The sequence below is a fragment of the Homo sapiens genome, chromosome 4 (assembly GCF_000001405.40).
Source record: "Homo sapiens chromosome 4, GRCh38.p14 Primary Assembly".
In the NCBI taxonomy this organism is placed as follows: domain Eukaryota; kingdom Metazoa; phylum Chordata; class Mammalia; order Primates; family Hominidae; genus Homo; species Homo sapiens.
In genome coordinates, this window is record NC_000004.12 from 181,627,627 (window position 1) to 181,650,290 (window position 22,664).

General features: G+C 40.6%; 1 protein-coding gene across 7 annotated transcripts in view; it reads left to right on the forward strand.

The window, feature by feature from the left end:
- Nucleotides 1–22,664, forward strand: part of TENM3 (teneurin transmembrane protein 3) — a 1,355,412-nt gene that overhangs the window by 180,014 nt on the left and 1,152,734 nt on the right. The window contains exon 1 of one of the 7 annotated variants that reach the window (XM_047415933.1): nt 5,014–6,442. The exons of the other annotated variants lie outside the window; for them this stretch is intronic. The gene's annotated coding sequence lies outside the window, so the exon portion shown is untranslated. Of the gene's footprint in view, nt 1–5,013; nt 6,443–22,664 lie in introns of those variants that run through there. 7 annotated transcript variants of the gene reach the window in all.

The following is a 22,664-nucleotide window of genomic DNA, read 5'->3' on the forward strand; positions in this document are numbered from 1 at the left end:
TTTCCAGCTTCATCCATGTCCCTACAAAGGACATGAAGTTATCCTTTTTTATGGCTGCATAGTATTCCATGATGTATATGAGCCACATTTTCTTAATCCGGTCTATCATTGATGGACATTTGGGTTGGTTCCAAGTCTTTGCTATTGTGAATAGTACCGCAATAAACATTAAGTGTGCATGTGCCATTATGGCAGCATGATTTATAATCCTTTGGGTATATGCCCAGTAAGGGGATGGCTGGGTCAAATGGTATTTCTAGTTCTAGATCCTTGAGGAATCCCTGCACTGTCTTCCACAATGGTTGAACTAGTTTACAGTCCCACCAACAGTGTAAAAGTGTTCCTATTTCTCCACATCCTCTCCAGCACCTGTTGTTTCCTGACTTTTTAATGATCACCATACTAACTGGTGTGAGATGGTATCTCATTGTGGTTTTGATTTGCGTTTCTCTGATGGCCAGTGATGATGAGCATTTTTTCATGTGTCTTTTGGCTGCATAAATGTCTTCTTTTGAGAAGTGTCTGTTCCTATCCTTGGCCCACTTTTTGATGGGGTTGTTTTTTTCTTGTAAATTTGTTTGAGTTCTTTGTAGATTCTGGATATTAGCCCTTTGTCAGATGAGTAGATCGCAAATATTTTCTCCCATTCTGTAGGTTGCCTGTTCACTCTGATGGTAGTTTCTTTTGCTGTGCAGAAGTTCTTTAGTTTAATTAGATCCCATTTGTCAATTTTGGGTTTTGTTGCCATTGCTTTTGGTGTTTTAGACATGAAGTCCTTGCCCATGCCTATGTCCTGAATGGTATTGCCTAGGTTTTCTTCTAGGGTTTTTATGGTTTTAGGTCTGACATTTAAGTCCTTAATCCATCTTGAATTAATTTTTGTATAAGGTGTAAGGAAGGGATCCAGTTTCAGCTTTCTACATATGGCTAGCCAGTTTTCCCAGCACCACTTATTAAATAGGGAATCCTTTCCCCATTGCTTGTTTTTGTCGGGTTTGTTGAAGATCAGATGGTTGTAGATGTGTGGTATTATTTCTGAGGGCTCTGTTCTGTTCCATTGGTCTATATCTCTGTTTTGGTACCAGTACCATGCTGTTTTGGTTCCTGTAGCCTTGTAGTATAGTTTGAAGTCAGGTAGCGTGATGCCTCCATCTTTGTTCTTTTGGCTTAGGATTGACTTGGCAGTGCGGCCTCTTTTTTGGTTCCATATGAACTTTAAAGTGTTTTTTTTCCAATTCTGTGAAGAAAGTCTTTGGTAGCTTGATGGGGATGGCATTGAATCTATAAATTACCTTGGGCAGTATGGCCATTTTCACGATATTGATTCTTCCTACCCATGAGCATAGAATGGTCTTCCATTTCTTTGTATCTTCTTTTATTTTGCTTAGCAGTGGTTTGTAGTTCTCCTTGAAGAGGTCCTTCACATCCCTTGTAAGTTGGATTCCTGGGTATTTTATTCTCTTTGAAGCAATTGTGAATGGGAGTTCACTCATGATTTGGCTCTCTGTTTGTCTGTTATTTGTGTATAGGAATGCTTGTGATTTTTGCACATTGATTTTGTATCCTGAGACTTTGCTGAAGTTGCTTATCAGCTATAAGGAGATTTTGGGCTGAGACAATGGGATTTTCTAAATATACAGTCATGTCATCTGCAAACAGGGCCAATTTGACTTCCTCTTTTCCTAATTGAATACCCTTTATTTCTTTCTCCTGCCTGATTGCCCTGGCCAGAACTTCCGACACTGTGTTGAATAGGAGTGGTGAGAGAGCGCATCCCTGTCTTGTGCCAGTTTTCAAAGGGAATGCTTCCAGTTTTTGCCCATTCAGTATAATATTGGCTGTGGGTTTGTCATAAATAGCTCTTATTATTTTGAGATACGTCCATCAATACCTAATTTATTGAGAGTTTTTAGCATGAAGGGCTGTTGAATTTTGTCAAAGGCCTTTTCTGCATCTATTGAGAAAATCACGTGGTTTTTGTCTTTGGTTCTGTTTATATGCTGGATTACGTTTATTGATTTGCATATGTTGAACCAGCCTTGCATCCCAGGGATGAAGCCCACTTGATCATGGTGGATAAGCTTTTTGATGTGCTGCTGGATTCGGTTTGCCAGTATTTTATTGAGGATTTTTGCATCGATGTTCATCAGGGATATTGGTCTAAAATTCTCTTTTTTTTGTTGTATCCCTGCAAGGCTTTGCTATCAGGATGATGCCGACCTCATAAAATGAGTTAGGGAGCATTCCCTCTTTTTCTGTTGATTGGAATAGTTTCAGAAGGAATGGTACCAGCTCCTCCTTGTACCTCTGATAGAATTCGGCTGTGAGTCCGTCTGGTCCTGGACTTTTTTTGGTTGGTAGGCTATTAATTATTGCCTCAACTTCAGAGCCTGTTATTGGTCTATTCAGAGATTCAACTTCTTCCTGGTTTAGTCTTTGGAGGGTGTATGTGTCGAGGAATTTATCCATTTCTTCTGGATTTTCTAGTTCATTTGCATAGAGGTGTTTATAGTAGTCTCTGATGGTAGCTTGTATTTCTGTGGGATCAGTGGTGATATCCCCTTTACCATTTTTTATTGTGTCTATTTGATTCTTCTCTCTTTACATCTTTATTAATCTTGCTAGTGGTCTATCAATTGTGTTGATCTTTTCAAAAAACCAGCTCCTGGATTCATTGATTTTTTGAAGGGTTTTTTTGTGTCTCTATCTCCTTCAGTTCTTCTCTGATTTTAGTTATTTATTGCCTTCCGCTAGCTTTTGAATGTGTTTGCTCTTGCTTCTGTAGTTCTTTTAATTGTGATGTTAGGGTGTCGATTTTAGCTCTTTCCTGCTTACTCTTGTGGGCATTTAGTGCTATAAATTTCCCTCTACACACTGCTTTAAATGTGTCCCAGAGATTCTGGTATGTTGTGTCTTTGTTCTCATTGGTTTCAAAGAACATCTTTATTTCTGCCTTCATTTCGTTATGTACCCAGTAGTCATTCAGGAGCAGGTTGTTCAGTTTCCATGCAGTTGAGCGGTTTTGAGTGAGTTTCTTAATCCTGAGTTCTAGTTTGATTGCACTGCGGTCTGAGAAACAGTTTGTTAAAATTTCTGTTATTTTACATTGCTGAGGAGTGCTTTACCTCCATCTATGTGGTCAATTTTAGAATAAGTGTGATGTGGTGCTGAGAAGAATGTATATTCTGTTGATTTGGGGTGGAGAGTTCTGTAGACGTCTATTAGGTCCGCTTGGTGTGCACACATTTTTTATTGATGGGGTGCCATGTTCATTTTCTATTGCTGCATAACAAAATTCTACAAACATAACAGCTCGAAACATACCCACTTATTGGCTTACAGTTTTGTGAACTCAGGGCAGATTCCTGAGCATAAGTGAGCTGGGTTCTCTGATTGCGGTATCAATAGGTTGAAATCAAAGAGTTAGCCAGCTGTGTCCTCATCTACAGACTTAACTGGGAAACAACTACTTGCAAGCTCCCCCAGATTGTTGGCAGAGTCCATCTTTTTGTCGTTGTAGGACCTCAGTCCTCAGTCCAGCATCCTGATGTCTGTTAGCTGGAGACCACTTTTAGCTCCCAGAGGCTGATCTCAGCTCCTTGTTAATCTCCACCATAGGCTCTCTCATAGTACCAATCTCTTATTTTAGGAAGGACCCAGTTCTTTTTTGTTTTTTTTTTTAGACGAAGTTTCTCTTTTGTTGCCCAGGCAGGAGTGCAATGGCACAATCTTGGCTCACCGTAACCTCCGCCTCCCAGGTTCAAGCGATTCTCCTGCCTCAGCCTACTGAGTAGCTGAGATTACAGGCATGCCCCACCACCATGGGTGGCTAATTTTGTATTTTTAGTAGAGGCAGGGTTTCACCATCTTGGCCAGGCTGGTCTTGAACTCCTGACCTCATGATCCACCTGCCTCAGCCTCCCAAAGTGCTCAGATTACAGGCATGAGCCACTGTGCCCAGCCCTGGCCCAGTTCTTTTTAAAGGCTCATCTGATTAGACCAGGCCCACCCAAGACATTCTTCTTTTTTATCAATTCAAAGTCAGCTGACTTGGTGACCTTAAATGCATCTGTGAATCCCTCCACCTTTGCTATACAAAATGATCTAATCATCATATTCAGAGTCCCACTAAGTCAAAGGAATAGGATTACACAGGGCATGTACACCAGGGGCAGGAATCTTGTGGGTCATTTCCAAAGGTTGCCTACCACAAGTGCATTGCCAAAAGTGTGGCATTCACTGCTCTAGTGTATCAACTTTGTGACTGTTTTTCACAGCCTATCATTTATGGTCATGCAGGAGCTGAGGAGAAAAGCAATTTCTAAAATCATTAGAGCACAAAAAATGCCATGAGTTTTTTAGAGTAAGATAAACCTATTGCTACTACACAAATCCAGGTTGTTACCACTAGCTGAGTGTGAGGTGTGGTGTATTAGTCTGTTTTCACACTGCTATAAAGAACTACCGGAGACAGGGTAATTTATGAAGAAAAGAGGTTTAATTGACTCACAGTTCTACATGGCTGGGGAGGCCTCAGGAAATCATAGCAGAAGGCAAAGGGAAGGCAGGCACGTCTTACATGGTGGCAGGAGAGAGAGAGTGGAGTGGGGAAGTGCCACACTTTTAAACCGTCATATCTCGTGAGAACTAACTCACTATCACAAGAACAGCATGGAGGAAATCCACCTCCATGATCCAATCACCTCCCACCAGGTCCCTCCCCTGACATTGGGGGATTAAAATTCCAGATGAAATGTGGGTGGGGACACAGAGCCAAACCATATCATGTGGGCATATATTCCATCATAAAAATAGACTCCTGCATTCTACACCAAGCTTTTAAAAGAGCTTTGCAAATATTAAGTAAACCAGTTTTCGATATTCTGATTCCAGGATTCCAGTGCACAGAAATATGGGAAAATGAGAGGAGATCTATATCGTAATGGAAAGCCAGAATCTTTTTGTAGAAGTTATACATGAATAACATGATTTTTAGCTTGATCTTCTTCCTGGGATCTAGTTTCTGCCTCAGTGTGAATCACACATGATCCCCATGTTAGTAGATGTTTATCTGGGGTAGTATAACATCCTTGGGTTGTTTGCATTCTTGGACTTTACCTCCCTGATTCCCTGAATGTTGCCTTACTGAGAGCCCTTCCATTTTAAAGGAGGCCGTTAAGAATATGACGGCATGAGCCACAGTGGGCACCCTTTTGAGTTGGAAATCTCAAACCAAACGAAACAACTTCAGTAGAATAAATCTTCAGTAGTAGTCCTATAACCAATTAAAATAAGTGTCGTCTTGGGTTTGTTCTGTTTCCTTGACTTAAAGGAGAAGTAGAGTGCTAAAATAGCAACTTTAGGTGAGGATTTTCTCCATGACAAACATGCTCTCAGATTCCTGTCTGAAATTTGGTTATCCTTCCAGAAGTAGCCCAATTTCTCTTCCCTGGGGGAAACTTCAGAAGGAGCCCAATCCACTTACACCATACGGATATTAATCTCATACGGTTGTTGAGGACAAAGGCTATGCAGTTATTGCTCTGTGAATTCCCTCAGCAACAAACTTGCAACGGTAGCCTCACAGGAAATGCTGTTGATTTGTTGATCAGTATTTTAAAATTCAAAGGCAAATTATCCGAGGAAAACCACCAAAGATAAGAAAGCTTATGTAGTCTGTGGTTGAAAGGGAGGGTAGATAATTATTTTAGCAGCTATTCTAGATCATCTGGTGCAAATGAGCTGCGGTATACAAGAGGACTTGTATATTTGGGTAATAGTGCACCTGACATTGAATTTTTTCTTTATTTGTAGTCAGGTGCAAATAGGTCCCTGGAGGAGTCACACTCCGAAACGCAGAGGATGCTTCCAGAAATATTATGGTCTCTGGTGCTTTTCCAGAGAATATTCTAAATGACCCTGAGCCTTAAATGAGAATTATCAAATTGTTATAGTCCAGAACTAATCTAAAAGATGTCTCTTCATCTGATTTCGTCCAGAGCCTGAGGGTTATGACTACTTGGAGATATTTAAGAATAAAGGGGTTCTATAGACTCAGAACTGATGTCTGAAGGCACTACTAATATGTCCTTTTTCTCAAAAGATTCCAAAGATGCTCTGAAATGGGTTTTGGGAATTTATGCCTGGAGTGCTTTAGCACACGGGACATAAATTTGGTTCAGCAGCGTTTGTTCCCCCACACAACCAGGACACTAAATAGATTCGTGTCAACCCCTGCAAGGCAACAAACTAATGTTCTTTATCAATTCCTTTATGCAATATGCCATTTTTTATTTAAGGTCATGCTGCCATTTTTTTCAGGGAAAGGGAAGAAGATCTCCTCTTTCACCTTCTTCCATATTTGCGGTTTGCTCTTAAGAGAAAAATGTGACTTCCATCTTCAGTTCAGCCACATCCGTAGCCTCAGTCTAACACATCGATGGTAGGTAGCATTTGGCAATGGTCTCATGCAGGTAACAAATATTCTGTCTTGTCACAATTTAGAATACCTGATGTTTGGAGGAGCTATAAACCTTATTTACATATTTGCCTTTGCCAACTGTAAATTTCCCTTTTATCGTTCTTGGCCTTATGGGGCTGTAAACATTTGCCATTTGCTCCTTGAAAGTTCGCCCTGTGTAAGAAATATTGAAGTCATAAATGTGGCATTCTTTCTTCAATCGTTTGAAAAAAATTCAGCCTCTCCAACAGATCCATTTTCAATGTACACATCTGTTTGAGTCTTACTTTTTTAATTCTTTTTTTTTTTTTTTTTTTGCAAGAGACTTTATTTCCTTTATAGCCATTTATCATCAAGGGGAAAGGTGTGAAACACTTTTTTTTCACACAGCATACCTTGCAAATGCAAACCATATGTTATCAGTTTTCCTATGTATTTTGTATTGCTAGTACCATATGCCTCAAGTGATTGATCTTACTGTTGTGAGGTAACTAAGGATACATATATTTTAAGTCTCTCTTGTAGGAAATAAGATCTCCCTCTATTGCTCTTTCAGATTAATGTGCTAAAAGCCTCTGCTTATCTCTAATGGATGATCCATAATTTACATCAAAATTTCAATCACTTTAAATTAATATAGCCATTTCCTTAATGAATCAAGCTACTAGAATCTGCTCTGATTTTCACAAAACAATTCAGTCGTGGCTGTTTACAATTTTTTGGTTAGCATAAAATCTGAGTTTTCACAGCATTTTTCATTTTAGTTTTTGAAATTAATTAATAAATTACTTGTATTATTTTGAAGTAAGCATCCTCCGTATACACTTTTATGAAAAACATACTCTATATTCATCTTCACCCTTTTTTTCATCTGCTAGGGGATTTCATAAGAAGCAGGAAAGAGAAAAATATATGTATTCTACTAACAGACTTATATAAATATTGTGAGACCTATCTCTGAAAACATGAGGTTGTTTATTTCTTATTTGTCCCCTTGAGATTTACAGGAGTAAGTCACATTAATTCTAATGGGATTTAGCCGTCAAAATTTTCTCTGCATCAGCAGCAGAAGGGAGGCATGCGGGCATAGCAAACGAGAAAGTTGAAAAATGAATTTTCGTGACCTAAATTTTTTATTGTAATTATTACATAATTAATATTGCACCTTAATACTAGTTCACCTCATTATAGGTATAAATACCTGGTATGCATTTACTCTGCAGTGAAAATAAACACTGATGTGCTAATCATAGCTAAACATGGGATTGAAAGACTAATCAATCTTCATGAGGGACATCAGTAGTCAGTTTCCATCGAATGATCAAGTTGATGAAAAGAGGATATCCCAATACATGCTAATTTGACATGGAAAAAGGGATTCGCTGCAGTTCAGCTGAGATGGCTGCAGGTGAACAAGGGTCTTACCTAAGTGGGGAGTGTGGGTTCCACCATGCTGATCCCCAGGAAACCTGTCAGAGGATCTCTTCCATAAGACAGTGGTTGTCAAGCTGGGCTCAGAGAGCCACCAAGCTACCTTGGGAACTTCTATGGGCTGAGAGGGTGGAGTGGAGAGGAACAGATAGGACAGAGGCCTACCACTTCCGCTTTCAACCTAGGGTGATGCTTCTCCTTTTACATGTTTACATATTAGCTTTCTTTGTAGGATTTCCTGGGAAGAAAGGGTGCAAGAGCTTTAAAAAAATTGTTGCAGAGCACAGTAATAGCATAGGCTTCTGGAGGGAGACGGGGCTTCCTCACATAGATCAAATCAAGAGAGGAGGCCACAGTCAGGAATTGAACAGACATGGCCATTCTTGTGGCAACTGGGGGGAAATTACATCGTGGGCTCCCTCTTCCCTGCTAACATATAGATACACATATGCCATATATAAATATACATAAACATACATGTATATATATGTACACACATGTGGAAGGAAAGAGAGAGAAACTTCAGTTTTTGTTTTTTGGTTTTTTTTGAGACAGTTTCGCTCTGTCATTCAGGCTGGAGTGCAATGATGTGATCTCAGCTCACTACAACCTCCACATCCCAGATTCAGGCGATTCTCCTATCTCAGCCTCCCGAGTAGCTGGGACTACAGGTGCGTGCCACCACATCCGGCTAATTTTGTATTTTTAGTAGAGACAGGGTTTCACCATATTGGCCAGGATGGTCTTGATCTCTTGAACTCGTGATCCACCCGCCTCGGCCTCCCAAAGTGTTGGGATTACAGGTGTGAGCCACCGCCCATGGCCATTTCTTGCTCTTCAGGCCTTCAGCTGATTGGAAGAAGCCCACCCACATTAGAGAGGGTAATAATCTGCTTTATTTAAAATCAAATGATTGCACATGTTAGTCACATCCACAAAATACCTTCATAACAACCTCTAGACTAGTGTTTGGCCAAATAACAGACACCACATTCTAGCTGATCTTTGACACACAAAGCAAACCATCACTGTGTCATGACAGGTTCCTCTCTTCCTCTCACGTGCCCAGCCAATCCATCAGCAGTTACTCTTGGCGCTACCTTCTTGATGTACCCACACTCCACCCACTTCTCCCCACCTCTGCTGCAGCGCCTCAGTGCAAGCGCCCATCGTGTCTTACTGGATTATTGGAATAGCATCTTAACAGTTCTTCTTTTCTCTGCTTTTCCCTCTTCGGTTTATCCTCAACGCAGCGACCAAAGTAATCCTGTTAGCTAAACGGATCATGTCACTGCTCTTCTGTTTAGAGCCCCTGATGGCTTCCCGTCACCCTTCGATTAAAAACCAAAGTACTTACAGTGCTATCATGCCCTGCATCCTTTACACTTCCCCATGACCTCTCTGACCTCAGCCCCTACCCCTCTGGTTTACACCACTCCAGCCATTTCGCTTCGCTTGATGTTCCCGAGAAACTTCCACTTACACACACTGCACATTCGGTTTCCTCTTTCTAAAAAGGCTTTCCCGCTAGATACCCATATGCCTTGCTCTCTGCCGCCTTCAGGTCTCCAAGTGAAGGCCACCTTCCCATGAAGACCTTCTCTGACCACACTACAAGATTGCGAAGCCCCTTCTTCCTCAGCAACTCCTATCCTTTTTTCCTCTGCAAAATTAGTTATAATTATTCTATAGTTTCTATAACAACAACAAAAAAAACTTCAGTGTCTTATCAAAATAGAAATGTATTTCTTATTTATGTGAGTGTTCCTGATTCACGAGCAACTTTCCTCCATGTGGTGACTAAGAAACAAAACACGTCTTTTGGCTCCCCCAGCAACTCCGGGCTGTGGAGTCCAGTGTGTTCAGCACATGGGTGGGGAATGAGTAGGTGGAAATTTATACCCACTCCTTAAGCCAGAAAATGACACACGTCACTTCTATGCACATGACAGTGGCAAAACTCGTCAAATGTTCCTATCCAGACGTGAAGGAGACCTGGAAATATAGTCCCTGGAGGAGCCCGTGTTTTTCCAGTAACATCTTCACACTGTGGGAGGAAAAGCCAAAACTTTGGTGGAACACTGACAAGGCTCCACCCTCCTGACCTAATTACCTCCGAAAGGCCCTGCCTCCTCCTACAATCACAGTAGGGGTTAGAATCTCAACATACAAATGTGAGAGGGACACAGACATTGTCTGTAGCAAGCACTTACCAATTGTAACATGTTACATTTGTACTCATTTATTGTTTTGTTGTTGTCCGTCACTCCCACTAAAATCTATGGCCCGTGAGACATGCATTTTTGTTCATTTCAGTCATTGGTACATTCTCAGAGCCTAGAACAGAAATAAATAATTTCTGAGTGAACAAATGAGTAAATGGGTAGATGGATGAGTTGCTGGATGGGTGCATAGGAATGACAGGGTATATCCTGCCCAGCTGTAGTTCATCAGTAGAAGGGGTTTGGACCACACGCAGGCATTTTCTTGGCAAAGAGGAAGGGGAAAAGTAAGATGTGAGACCGTCTACAGGACACACTTGCCCTTGGTGACTTTATCCTATTCCCTTTACCTAGTAATTGAGTTTTATTACTATGTAACTTTTAAAAATTGGTTTATTCAAAATCAAGACATGGTTATCATTCTACTTAAACTGGTTGTTGGTAATAGAACCTACTTATCCCACACAGACTGACATAGTGCCTAATTGAGAGACACACAGAAAATGTTGGCCAAATAAGTAATTAAATCACGAATAAGTGGGCATCAGATTAGGTTTCCTCCAGCGTAAGCACTGGGACTCATTCATTCAATCTTCAGCAAGTATGTACAGATAAGGCCGTGAAAGTTGTGAAGTTGTGGCTGCATAGAAAAATACTTAATGCCCCCCTGTGTTTGGGGATCACCCAGTATTTCTTTTAAGAAGTATAAAAATTATTAATGTCAACTTTTCCATGTTCCTGCTCTCACCAACATAGAATGTTCCATCTGCAGAACAAATCCAAGTCAGAGGTTGAAATCCTGAAGTCCAAAGATCATTAGTCTGTCTGAACCTTTTCACTGCTTTAGAACCTTAAAAATTCATTATGAGAGCAGAGAGATTTGCTCTTTTTGCTACTGTACTCCATTTTCTCTGTAGTAAAAATGGAAACTTTATTGGAAAACATAATACATCAATTGTAATGATCATCATAGTTTGAGATGGTGGGTTTTTTTAAAATGTTACTTTCCTTAATAATCACTATGTATAAAAACTGCAAATATATATATTCCAGAGTTCCTTTAAATCAGCAGAGATGCACCTGCATATTTTGGTCTCATATATGAAAAAGGGCAATTAGCTTCTAAATTAACACATCCGTGTATTAATAACTGACATTTAGTAGTAGCCCAAAGGTCATATTGAAAGACTGTTCATGCATGAAGCTGCAGAACTTATTCTAATCATGCTGTACCTAATTGATTCACAGATGATCTAACTGGACAAATTGTTAAATAAAAGGGTGGCCTAGAATTCATTTTGTTTTGCATTTTTTTTGACTGTTTGGGAATACTTCAAGTGTATTCCTGTCATCACTTGTCCTTGTTTAGTCCATGAATCTGACATAGCAGAAAGTTCTTCTGGACTCTGCTTGGATATCAAGAGCAAAAAGCTATGGGAAATGATGGACTAAGAAATGAAATGGCACAGCAAAAATGTAACCAGGCATAATAACCCAAATGAAATAGCAAGCATATCATGGCATATTGACTTAAGAGATATTTTATTTATTTGCTGATTATTTCTTTTGTATGAATGCATCAAGCCCCCTGAACCCTAGTTAGTTATACAAATGAGCACCTCATTGTGACCATCCACATGCAGCCAAGGCAGCTCCACTCCCTGCAGCACTATGTCACCATCATCCCATGACAGGGTCCGGTTAATATCCCCACCACTGGCCAGCTGTGGTGGCTCACGCCTGTAATCCCAGCACTTTGGGAGGCCGAGGCGGGTGGATCACCTGAGGTCAGGAGTTTGAGACCAGCCTGGCCAACACAGTGAAACCCCGTCTCTACTAAAAATACAAAAATTGGCCAGGCATGGTGGCAGGCCCCTGTGATCCCAGCTACTTGGGAGGCTGAGGCCGGAGAATCGCTTGAACCCAGGAGGCAGAGGTTGCAGTGGGCCGAGATCACGCCAGTGTACTCCAGCCTGGGGGACAAGAGCAAGACTTATTCTCAAAATAAATAAATAAATCCCCACCACCCTCGGAGTGGTGCTCTTCCCTTAGCTACTGTGACACTACACACTCCTGATTTTGTTCCTACTTCTCGGCCAAGGAGATCCACCCCAACAGATGAACTCCTGCCAGTAAGGCTGAGGGCTGCACAGCCCCTGCGTGTGTGGGCGTATGGGCTGGATAAGGACTGTGCCAAGTGCCGTTTACAATGCCGTGTCGCTTTGCCATTTATTTTGTGATGCAGTGAATACATTTATCTCCATAATAATTGGCAAAAGGTACCCAAGTGTATCAGCCACGTCCTGGTGGTACACAGACAGCACTCACCAAAAGGAGAAGCTGAAGACAGTTGAATGAACAGGTAGGCAGGGACATCAAGAAGATGAAGGGGCTTTAGTGAGTTCTGTGGACCAACAGCAGCATCACCTGGGAAATTGATAGAAATGCCAATTCTCAGTCCCTACTCCAGACCTACTGAGCCTGAGACTCTGGGGATAGAATGCAGTAATCTGTGCATCAACAAGCTCTCCAGGTGATTCTGATTGCAAGTTAGAGAACCACTGTAATAATGGATCATGGCACATCCTAACAAAAGAAGCAACTGGAAAGTGCAAAGGTAAAACAAAATTGGTCAAAGAAATTTAGTTTCTTCCAGGTTTGACTCACAATTGCCCATCACTGCTTTCATGATGTAGGGATTGTTATAGTGCTTTCCTGCAGGCATCTATTTACTTACAAGCCATCCTTTTCCTTATACCTCCTCTGCCACGTCTCTGAAGCTGTCTCAAATGATGTAAAATTTCCAACACAACACCCTTTATCATACTTATGCATGATTACCAGCAGGCCCAGCATTTTCCCTTGCTGCACTGGGTATTTTTGTTTGCCCCTCCAGACGAGTTCCCTATCAATCTCCACTCAGCTCTGTGCACCTAAGTCACCCAGACTCTGTGGTCATCTCATTCTTGATTGGGTTTGGCTGATGGGAACTATAGGAGGTGATGCCGGCGTTGCAGCAGCAGGAGAGCTCTGGCTTCCCCTCTACCAGGCCACCAGGTTGACAGTCCTCTACCAAAAGCCTGAACTTTGGTTGGGCAACCCTTTCCTCCAATTCTATGTCTTGCTAAATTTCTTTGACTAGTTTTTGGCCACACATGTCAAGAATTCCATAGAAACCATAACACTGAGCCCCATGTAGTATCAAGCTACTTCTTTTGAAAGGGTGAACTATTTCTTCAAAAAAGACTAGTGCATGACAACATAAACTTGAAAAACTGGTAATCACACAAGGGACTATTTTCATTACTAAGAGACTGTTTTATCAAAATATTGAAGCGGGGCTTCCTTTAGCTCCTCTTTCTTCAATACATATAAAAGATTATCTTTTTTTCTATATTGGTACCAATAACTGCATAAAAATGGCCTGTACATGAAAAGAGTGTTACTTTTTTTATTATTATTATACTTTAAATTCTGGGATACATGTGCAGAACGTGCAGGTTTGTTACATGGGTATACATGTGCCATGGTGTTTGCTGCACCCATCAACCCGTCACCTACATTACGTATTTCTCCTAATGCTGTCCCTGCCCTAGCTCCCCACCCCCGGCAGGGCCCGGTGTGTGACGTTCCCCTCCCTGTGTCCACGTTTGCTCATTGTTCAGCTCCCACTTATGAGTGAGAACATGCGGTGTTTGGTTTTCTGTTCTTGTGTTAATTTGCTGAGAATGATGGTTTCCAGCTTTATCCACGTCCCTGCAAAGGAAATGAACTCATCCTTTTTTGTGGCTGCATAGTATTCCATGGTGTGTGTGTATATATATATATATATATATATATATATATATATATATGGTGTGTGTGTGTATATATATATATATGGTGTGTGTATATATATATAATGGAAAATATATATATACCATGGAATATATATATATATAAAATATATATAATGTATAATATATATATTATATATTATATGTATAATAAATTATATATATATAAAATACCATGGTGTGTATATATATATATACATACACACACCATATATATATACACACACACCATATATATATATATATATATATATATATATATATATATGCCACATTTTCTTTATCCAGTCTATCATTGATGGACATTTGGGTTGGTTCCAAGTCTTTGTTATTGTGAATAGGGCTGCAATAAACATATGTGTTCATGTGTCTTTATAGTAGAATGATTTATAATCCTTTGGGTATATACCCAGTAATGGGATTGCTGGGTCAAATGGTATTTCTAGTTCTAGGTCCTTGAGGAATGGCCACACTGTTTTTCACAATGATTGAACTAATTTACACTCCCACCAACAGTGTAAAAGCATTCCTATTTCTCCACATCCTCTCCAGCACCTCTTGTTTCCTGACTTTTTAATGATTGCCATTCTAACAGGTGTGAGATGGTATCTCATTGTGGTTTTGATTTTCATTTCTCTAATGACCAGTGATGATGATTTTTTTTCATATGTTTGTTGCCTGCATAAATGTCTTCTTTCAAGAAGTGTCTGTTCATATCCTTTGCCCACTTTTTGATGGGGTGGTTAGTTTTTTTCTTGTAAACTTGTTTAAGTTCTTTGTAGATTCTGGATGTTATCCCTTTGTCAGTTGGATAGACGGCAAAAATTTTACCCATTCTGTACATTGCCTGTTCACTCTGATGGTAGTTTCTTTTGCTGTGCAGATACTCTTTAGTTTAGGTAGATCCCATTTGTCAATTTTGGTTTTTGTTGCCATTGCTTTTGGTGTCTTAGACATGAAGTCTTTGACCATGCCGATGTCCTGAATGGTATTGCCTAGGTTTTCTTCTAGGATTTTTATGGTTTTAGGTCTTACATTTAAGTCTTTAATCCATTTTGAGTTAATTTTTGAGTTAATCCATTTTGAGTTAATCCATTTTGAGTTAATTTTGTGTAAGGAAGGGGTCCAGTTTCAGTTGTCTGCATATGGCTAGCCAGTTTTCCCAACATCATTTATTAAATAGGGGATCCTTTCCACATTGCTTGTTTTTGTCAGGTTTGTCAAAGATCAGATGGTTGTAGATGTGCGGTATTATTTCTGAGGGCTGTTTTCTGTTCCATTGGTCTATATCTCTGTTTTGGTACCAGTACCATGCTGTTTTGGTTACTGTAGCCTTGTAGTATACTTTGAAATCAGGTAGCGTGATGCCTCCAGCTTTGTTCTTTTTGCTTAGGGTTGTCTTGGCTATGTGGGCTCTTCTTTGGTTCCATATGAAGTTTAAACTAATTTTTTCCAGTTCTGTAAAGAAAGTTAATGGTAGCTTGATGGGGATAGCATTGACTCCATAAATTACTTTGGGCAGTATGGCCATTTTCACGATATTGATTTCTCCTATCCGTGAGTTTGAAATGTGGAATGTTTTTCCGTTTATTTGTGTCTTCTCTTATTTCCTTGAGCAGTGGTTTGTAGTTCTCCCTGAAGAGGTCCTTCACGTTCCTTGTAAGTTGTATTGCTAGGTATTTTATTCTCTTTGTAGCAACTGTGAGTGGTAGTTCACTCACGATTTGGCTCTCTGTTTGTCTTGTGATTTTTGCACATTAATTTTGTATCCTGAGACTTTGCTGAAGTTGCTTATCAGCTTAAGGAGATTTTGAGCTGAAATGGTAGGGTTTTCTAAATATACAATCATGTCATCTGCAAACAGAGACAATTTGACTTCCTCTTTTCCTATTTGAATACCCTTTATTTCTTTCTCTTGCCTGATTGCCCTGGCCAGAGTGTTACTTTTTTTGAACTTATCTATGCTAGTTGGTTGATGGCTCTGTGTAGACAATTCTAATTGGACTAAGGAGTTGACTGCATCAAAATGGAGCAGAGCTGCACAGACAAGATCTACACCAGTGGAGCCAGGTTCCAGAGCCCTGAGTCAAGGGTCAATAATTACAACATTAGTAAGATAAAGAACTCTTTCAGCTGAGCACCGCATAAGAGAATGTGCATGAAATAAGGCCTTCAGTGAGTTTACATTTGTGTAAGTGAATTGCAGAAATGTCAAGGGTGGGCTGGTGTGGTGGCTCACACCTTTAATCCCAGCACTTTGGGAGGCCAAGGCGGGCAGATCACTTGAGGTCAGGAGTTTGAGACCAGCCTGGCCAACACGGTGAAACCTCATCTCTACTAAAAATACAAAAATTAGCCAGGCGTGTTGCATGGTGGTGCATGCCCACCTACTTGGGAGCCTGAGACAGGAGAATCACTTGAACCCAGGAGGCAGAGTTTGCAGTGAGCCACGGTCATGCCACTGCATTCTAGCCTGGGTGACAGAACAAGACTCCATCTCAAAAAAAAAAAAAAAAAAAGTCAAGGGTGAGCAAGGAATTCTGCATGTGAACAAAGACAAAGAGGCTAGAATTCAAAGGCCTCCTTTTCTTGTTCCATAGTGCCTATAAAAGAGACATTTCCTACATTTCCAAGCAACTAGCCAGTGTTCCTTACCTGGAAGATAGAGCCCGTAATAGTTTCTGATTATGAACAGAAGGGGGAATATTCTCAAGATGCACCAGGTCATGAGGAGGGAGGCGGACAGGGAGGGAAACTGTGATTGTCCACAGTTCAGGGCAGCAGGAGATACTCAGTGGGCCCACATTGCCAGGTCTCTAAACAGAATTGCCTGCAAAAAGGTGGAATCTCTTATCTTAAAAAAAAAAAAATACTATAAGGGCATTTCACATGAGCCTCCTAAAGATGAAAGATAATCAAATTCATACCCCATGCTTCTGCAATCTTGTCTTTCTCTGCTTTCTCACCCACTTGTAGTTCCAAACTGTCCTATTCACACCTTCTGCCTGCCTCACCAAATTCAGGGGACCAAGACACAAAGTGGCTTCTTTGTGACCCCTGCCTCCAATCTGTAATGTGTAGGCTGATCTATTTCATCTGGCTTATTGCTTTTTTTTGTTTCGTTTTTCTGTTTTTTCTCTTTTATGCTTATTACCCAGATTCTCACCCATAAAGGTGAGTTCAGGAACTGACTCCACCAGAAAGACTCCTTGTAGTCCAATCTCTGTCTACCTCCTCTCTGATTTTAAGAGCCCTGGAATGTAGCTAAAGAAAGATAAATTTCTACTTAGAGGGCCACTGAGAGGAAAGCTTGAACAGCCAAATAAAAATGTTCCTTTGTAGAAAGGCTGGGAGAGGAGGAGAGGCTGGTAAGACTCAAAAGGTTTGATGGAGGTTGCCCTAGACCATGTACATGATGAAATAAACAGGCATTTGAGTAATTAATATTCTAAGCACCTTCCTAAATGAGGACAATTTTGTAGAATAAAGTGTTTTCCAAAAATTGGTGAATGATGTGGATTGCAAAGGATTTGCTTAAAATGGAAGATTCCTGGATGATCACATTTTTCTAGGGCGAAAAATGAAATCGATTCCTTGAATCAAAAATCTCCAATAGGGAGAGGATGTTAGAAGCTTTTGGAAGACCTCTTTGGGAGATTACAGTTTTAGACCTGATTCTTCTACCTGGATCCTGCCTCTCCTCATCACCAGCTATCAGCCCGTTTCCCAGGATTCTGGTGGTTAGAGGCGAAGAACATCAGCATGGTGCCCCTCTGTGGCCACCGCTGAGAGCCTGGGCAGGGGTCCTGGGAACTCAGGAGGAGGAATCTGGGGCTGGGACTCCATGAGAGCTCCAGTTCCCACTGTCACAGGCATTTGCCATGGAGGGACATTTGGTCCCCGGTCATCTCACCCTTTTAACAGGACAACAGTCAAATTTCTCATTTATTCTCAAAATTATTACAGAACTTGGGTTACCCTTTACTATTGTTGAAGGTGAAATGCTTAAAAATATGAGAGGGGGAGTGATGGAACCTCTCAAAAAAACCACACTGCAATAAATCATCAGCTAGGTGGAACTCGTCCAAGTGATATGAAGGAACTACAGAATGAAGTAGCTGGGCTACTGACAAAAATATGTAATTTATCATTTAAAGCAGCCGCTGAACTGGAAGACTGGAAGACTGCCAAGGTGATACCCATCTTTTTAATAGGACCAAAGGTGATCTCAGAAATTATACATCTGTGAGTTTCACATTGATGCTAAGAAAAATGTCTTTACAATTAAAGTGATCTCCCATCTAGCCTTGCACATCGTTTTTTGTCTTTTAAAAAAACCCACCTAAATTTTCATTAGGTCTAGAAAGTTGGCCTGGGTGCTGCCCACATGATCTTTCACAGGATCAGCTTCCATGCACATACCCAACAGAGGTCCAGATCCTCACAGGTGCAGGCAAACTATGGACACGCACATTTGTGCATTAAACCCTCCAACATGCGCAAAGCCCTGAACACAGTGTACCCCAGTGCAACACAAAGATAAAATTTGGGGTGCTAGGTATTGCTGTTGTTTTGTTGTGTGGTGGTTATGAATCACACACACAAACATTAAAAGATACACGAGCAATTATGTGAGCCTGCTCACATCTACCTTCCTTTTATTTTCCTTAGTTCTTATTTTTGCCATTATTAGGACTTCCTTCTTTTACCCTATATGAAGGACACAGAAATTTTATCTCAAGAACAAAAGACAGGATTATTGGGTCACAGGATCTAGGAATCTAGAGAAATTGCTGCCCCACAGAGTGTGGTGATCTGAAGGGAAAAAAGTCAAAACAAGAGGAAGGTGTTTTGACAGAGTTATGTGGAAAGAGGGAAATGGAAGCAGCCAAAATGATTTCTAGGATCATGGGGCAAGGAGCATTCTTCTGCAGCTTACTGTGAGTTTTACTCAGCCCAAACCTAACAAGGGGAGAGAATTCATATTTCTTGAGCATCAACTCTTGTCCCATTCATTCTTCTAAAGACTCAAGGCAGAAGGCATTATCTATAATTTAAAGATGCTATTTAAATTGAGGCTCCCAAATGCAGCGGCCAGTGCAGGACCACAACAAGCGACAGTTGGGGTTAGGACCGAGGCGCGTCTGACTCTGGGACCCCTGCCTTTTCTATTATTTCACCCTGCCTCCCCTGGGTACAATATAAGCAGAATCACAGTTTTTATAATGCTTTATGAATTTTCTGAGAGCTATAGCATCAGTGACAAAAAAAGATCTAATTTATTTAAACATTGAGAAGACTTAGGATACATTTTCAGTAGAATTGGTTAAGGAAACTGAGTCACACAGGCAAATCAGAAATTCTATTGTGGATTAAATGGACAGGGGAAATAACTCATTATTTTAAAATGACGCATTTTCGTCAGGAAAGATCATGAGTAAAGCGCCCCAAGAATGTCTAAGCAGAGTGTAGATGCTGCCTGTAATGATGACTAAGAAGACATACGGAATATTAAGTAACAATATTTGCTGATCACACATTTTTAGGATAAGTTCAGAAGAGAAAATATGATAAAAGTTTCCAAAGAACATGATGACAACCTAAGACCAAGCAACAACTTCACAGATAAATTTTTACGTAGATGAGTGCAAAACAACATAGACGTTGGATATATGTGTGTGAACATACACGTTGATTTTGTTTGATGGAACATTTAACAGTGCTGTCTCCATGATGAATTCCAAATTATCTATAAAGCTCCCAAAACAAAGATAGAGGCATCAGTTTTGAGAATTGGGTAAAAATATCTATTTCATGGCAGCAGCTCTAGGAGAGGAAAATGTGTATCTGCAATATGTAGAGTAATATTAGACCATATTAATTAAGAAGAGTAGCAAAAGGGTGCAATATGTGTGATATTCTCATGTACGGTTTTCTGAATCTGTTGTATGCTTACACTTTGATCCTATGTTTGCTTTTGTCGCTCATTTCACAAACGAAACAGCCGCAAGATAAAACAACAAATAAAACAGTCCAGAAATGTGTCATGAAATTTGCAAGAGCTGTGAAGGGGGAGTCACTCCTCCAAGAAGAGAAATAGGAGTGATGAATATAGAAACGGGGGCAAGGGAAAGGACACGTCGTGGGATGTGCTGTGGGAAATAAGGAATAGTGTTAAGAAAACAAGCTGATACCCTATTTTCTTTTCTTGGTAGCGAAGAAACACGAAGGCGCTCAGGGAAACCGAACGGCAGCGAGTCTGAAGAGAGAGAGGGAAATAGGCTCTGAACACAGTGTCTGTAATTCCATCGAGGTGTTTGGTTTCAGCTTGAGTCAAACCTTTGGGGGAGGTTTGAGAACAGGATTCCACACTGCTGTGAGTTCTAGCAGTTTATTGTCAAGGATAAAATTAACAGGGACGCTCAACTCGACTGCTTCAGGGCACACGCTGCTGATTACCAGCTGGGGATGGGGAGAAATTTCCCCCTGTAGTCCCGTGTTGCACATTTAGGTGTATGATGGGGGACTTGCGTCTTCTGGAGCATGCAGCACTGGCCATATTGGAGACAGGGTAGCAGACTCCCTGCTCCATTGGTCTGTTCTGGTATGGTAATTATTATGTCCGCACGCTGCTCATTTAGGTTTTACAAGTTTCTAATTCACAAGAGTGCTGCTAAACGCTAGAACATGGAGATACGGCTCTAATCCCTCTACTGCTGCAAAGTTCGCACAAATTGTAAAGAAAAGTCGGGTTTCCTAAAAAGGGTTTCCCCTTTGCCTCCTCTGAGCCACTAAACTGACTCATATGAAGCACGCTAGATGTCCTCAGCTGCCATTTTCTTTAATAAAGTTCAAATACCAAAAAAAGTGGTATTTAGCTATCTTCCAAAACAACAACAACAAGCAACAAAACAGAATTAGCTTTTGTGCTATGAAAACTCTCATGGCAGTTTCTCGAGTGAGCAAGAAACTGGGTTTGCATTTTGCATTTGGGGAGCTCTCTTTCCAATTTACAAAAGAATTCTGATTTACCAGGGATAGAGGTAAGGAAACTTAATATTATTTTCTTAGTTCTCTCTCTCTCTGACTAGGGAGCATTCAGTTGTTAAGGTATATCCTGTACTAGCCACCCAAGAGAATTAATTCTAAACCTGTGTCCTTCTAATGATTAATAATTGCAGTATGTGGTGCCCATCCCAAATAACCTCTGGGTGTGTTACCAGCAAAGATGCCTGAGCCAAGACCACCCATCAGATGGAAATCTAGATCCTGCAACATTCCAGGCCTTGGAGTTTTGTGCATGAACATGGACAAGCTGAGAGGCCGTAATCAAGGACAATGCGGTGATTATAAACAACTGAGAAACTCTACTGCCATTCCTTAAAATATGTCCTCCTTCATTTGTCAGCCTTTCTCGCAGAGCTGGTGCAGGTGCACTTCAAAAAATATTGTTATTATTATTATCATTATCATTCGGGGCAGTATTCTTGTGGTTACTGTGGGCAAGGCAAGGCCTCTGCATTTAAGTATCATTTTTACCTGCCCCCACCTCCATTTCTAGCAGAGAAGGAATTTTCCAATCTTTGAAAATGCATCAGGCTGAGTATCTGAATAAATGGTTAACTGCTGCATGAAAATAGTTTTCATTGGCTCCCTATTGCCAGAGCGGAGCCTCTTTTCCGTCAGTGATTGAGGCTGGTGATTACAATGAGTAATGTGAGGCCTACAGCCATTCTCTCTCACCCGTCCATCAATACCGGTATGAGGCATATAAATGGGATCAGGTGGGAAAAAGCAATAAGTCATATTTGATGAAGGCTTCTTTCTTTTTTCTCTGAGTTGTCTTCTAAATGACTATTTCTGTATCGGCCTAGACTGGCAGTATTACATGCCATTAGGCCTTATGTGTTGACAAATTTGTATCGATATTTGTAGTTCTTGGTTTCTTGGCTAAAAGAAGCTAGAAAAAATCCTTCAGGAACTGCTAATGAAGAGTGTGGGACAGTTGGGTGTCATTATGGGAACCCAAATGGAAGGGATGTGTTCGTGTGTTTTGACTTATAAAAGGAAGGGAAAGACCTAAGAGAATCCGTGATTTGTTTGTTTTAAACTAGCACAAGTTTAGTTGATCGTGAAAAATGTATTTCGGTACCACTTGGAAAATTTCATTCATTTTCCATCACCTGGGGATAAATAATGTTTGACAGTGCAGAAACGGGGTGATATTTTATAACAATATTGTCTACAGTCTCTGTGAAGTAGAGCTGTCGTGGTACAGAGATAATGTGTCATTCCAGTCAACTTGGATCAGGAGTGGATTGTGGGTCCTTAAAAAGTTGTACCCGGAAGGAAGCGGTAGCTGAAATTGATGGAGTTCTGGTAGGAGTGATTATCACTGGCTGAGGAATTTTGACAGCAGAGACAAACTTTGTTTTGAGGAAGTCACTCATTAGACAAGTCAGGTATGGTTTTTCAGAGCATATGTGCTTCTGATTATAAGAATCTGAGAAGGTTTGATAGTAGGAAAGGAACACCTGTCACTCAAAGATTATGCATAATAGCCTCAAACTGGCGTATCACTCTGGCTGTTCTTAAATTCCCAGGATACTGCATTTTCTGAAACGGATTTACTAACAGTTACACCCAAGACCTACATGAGTCAGCAAACTTGCCTTTGTAATCCTACTCACTAGAATTTCTTAGACTTCTGTTTCA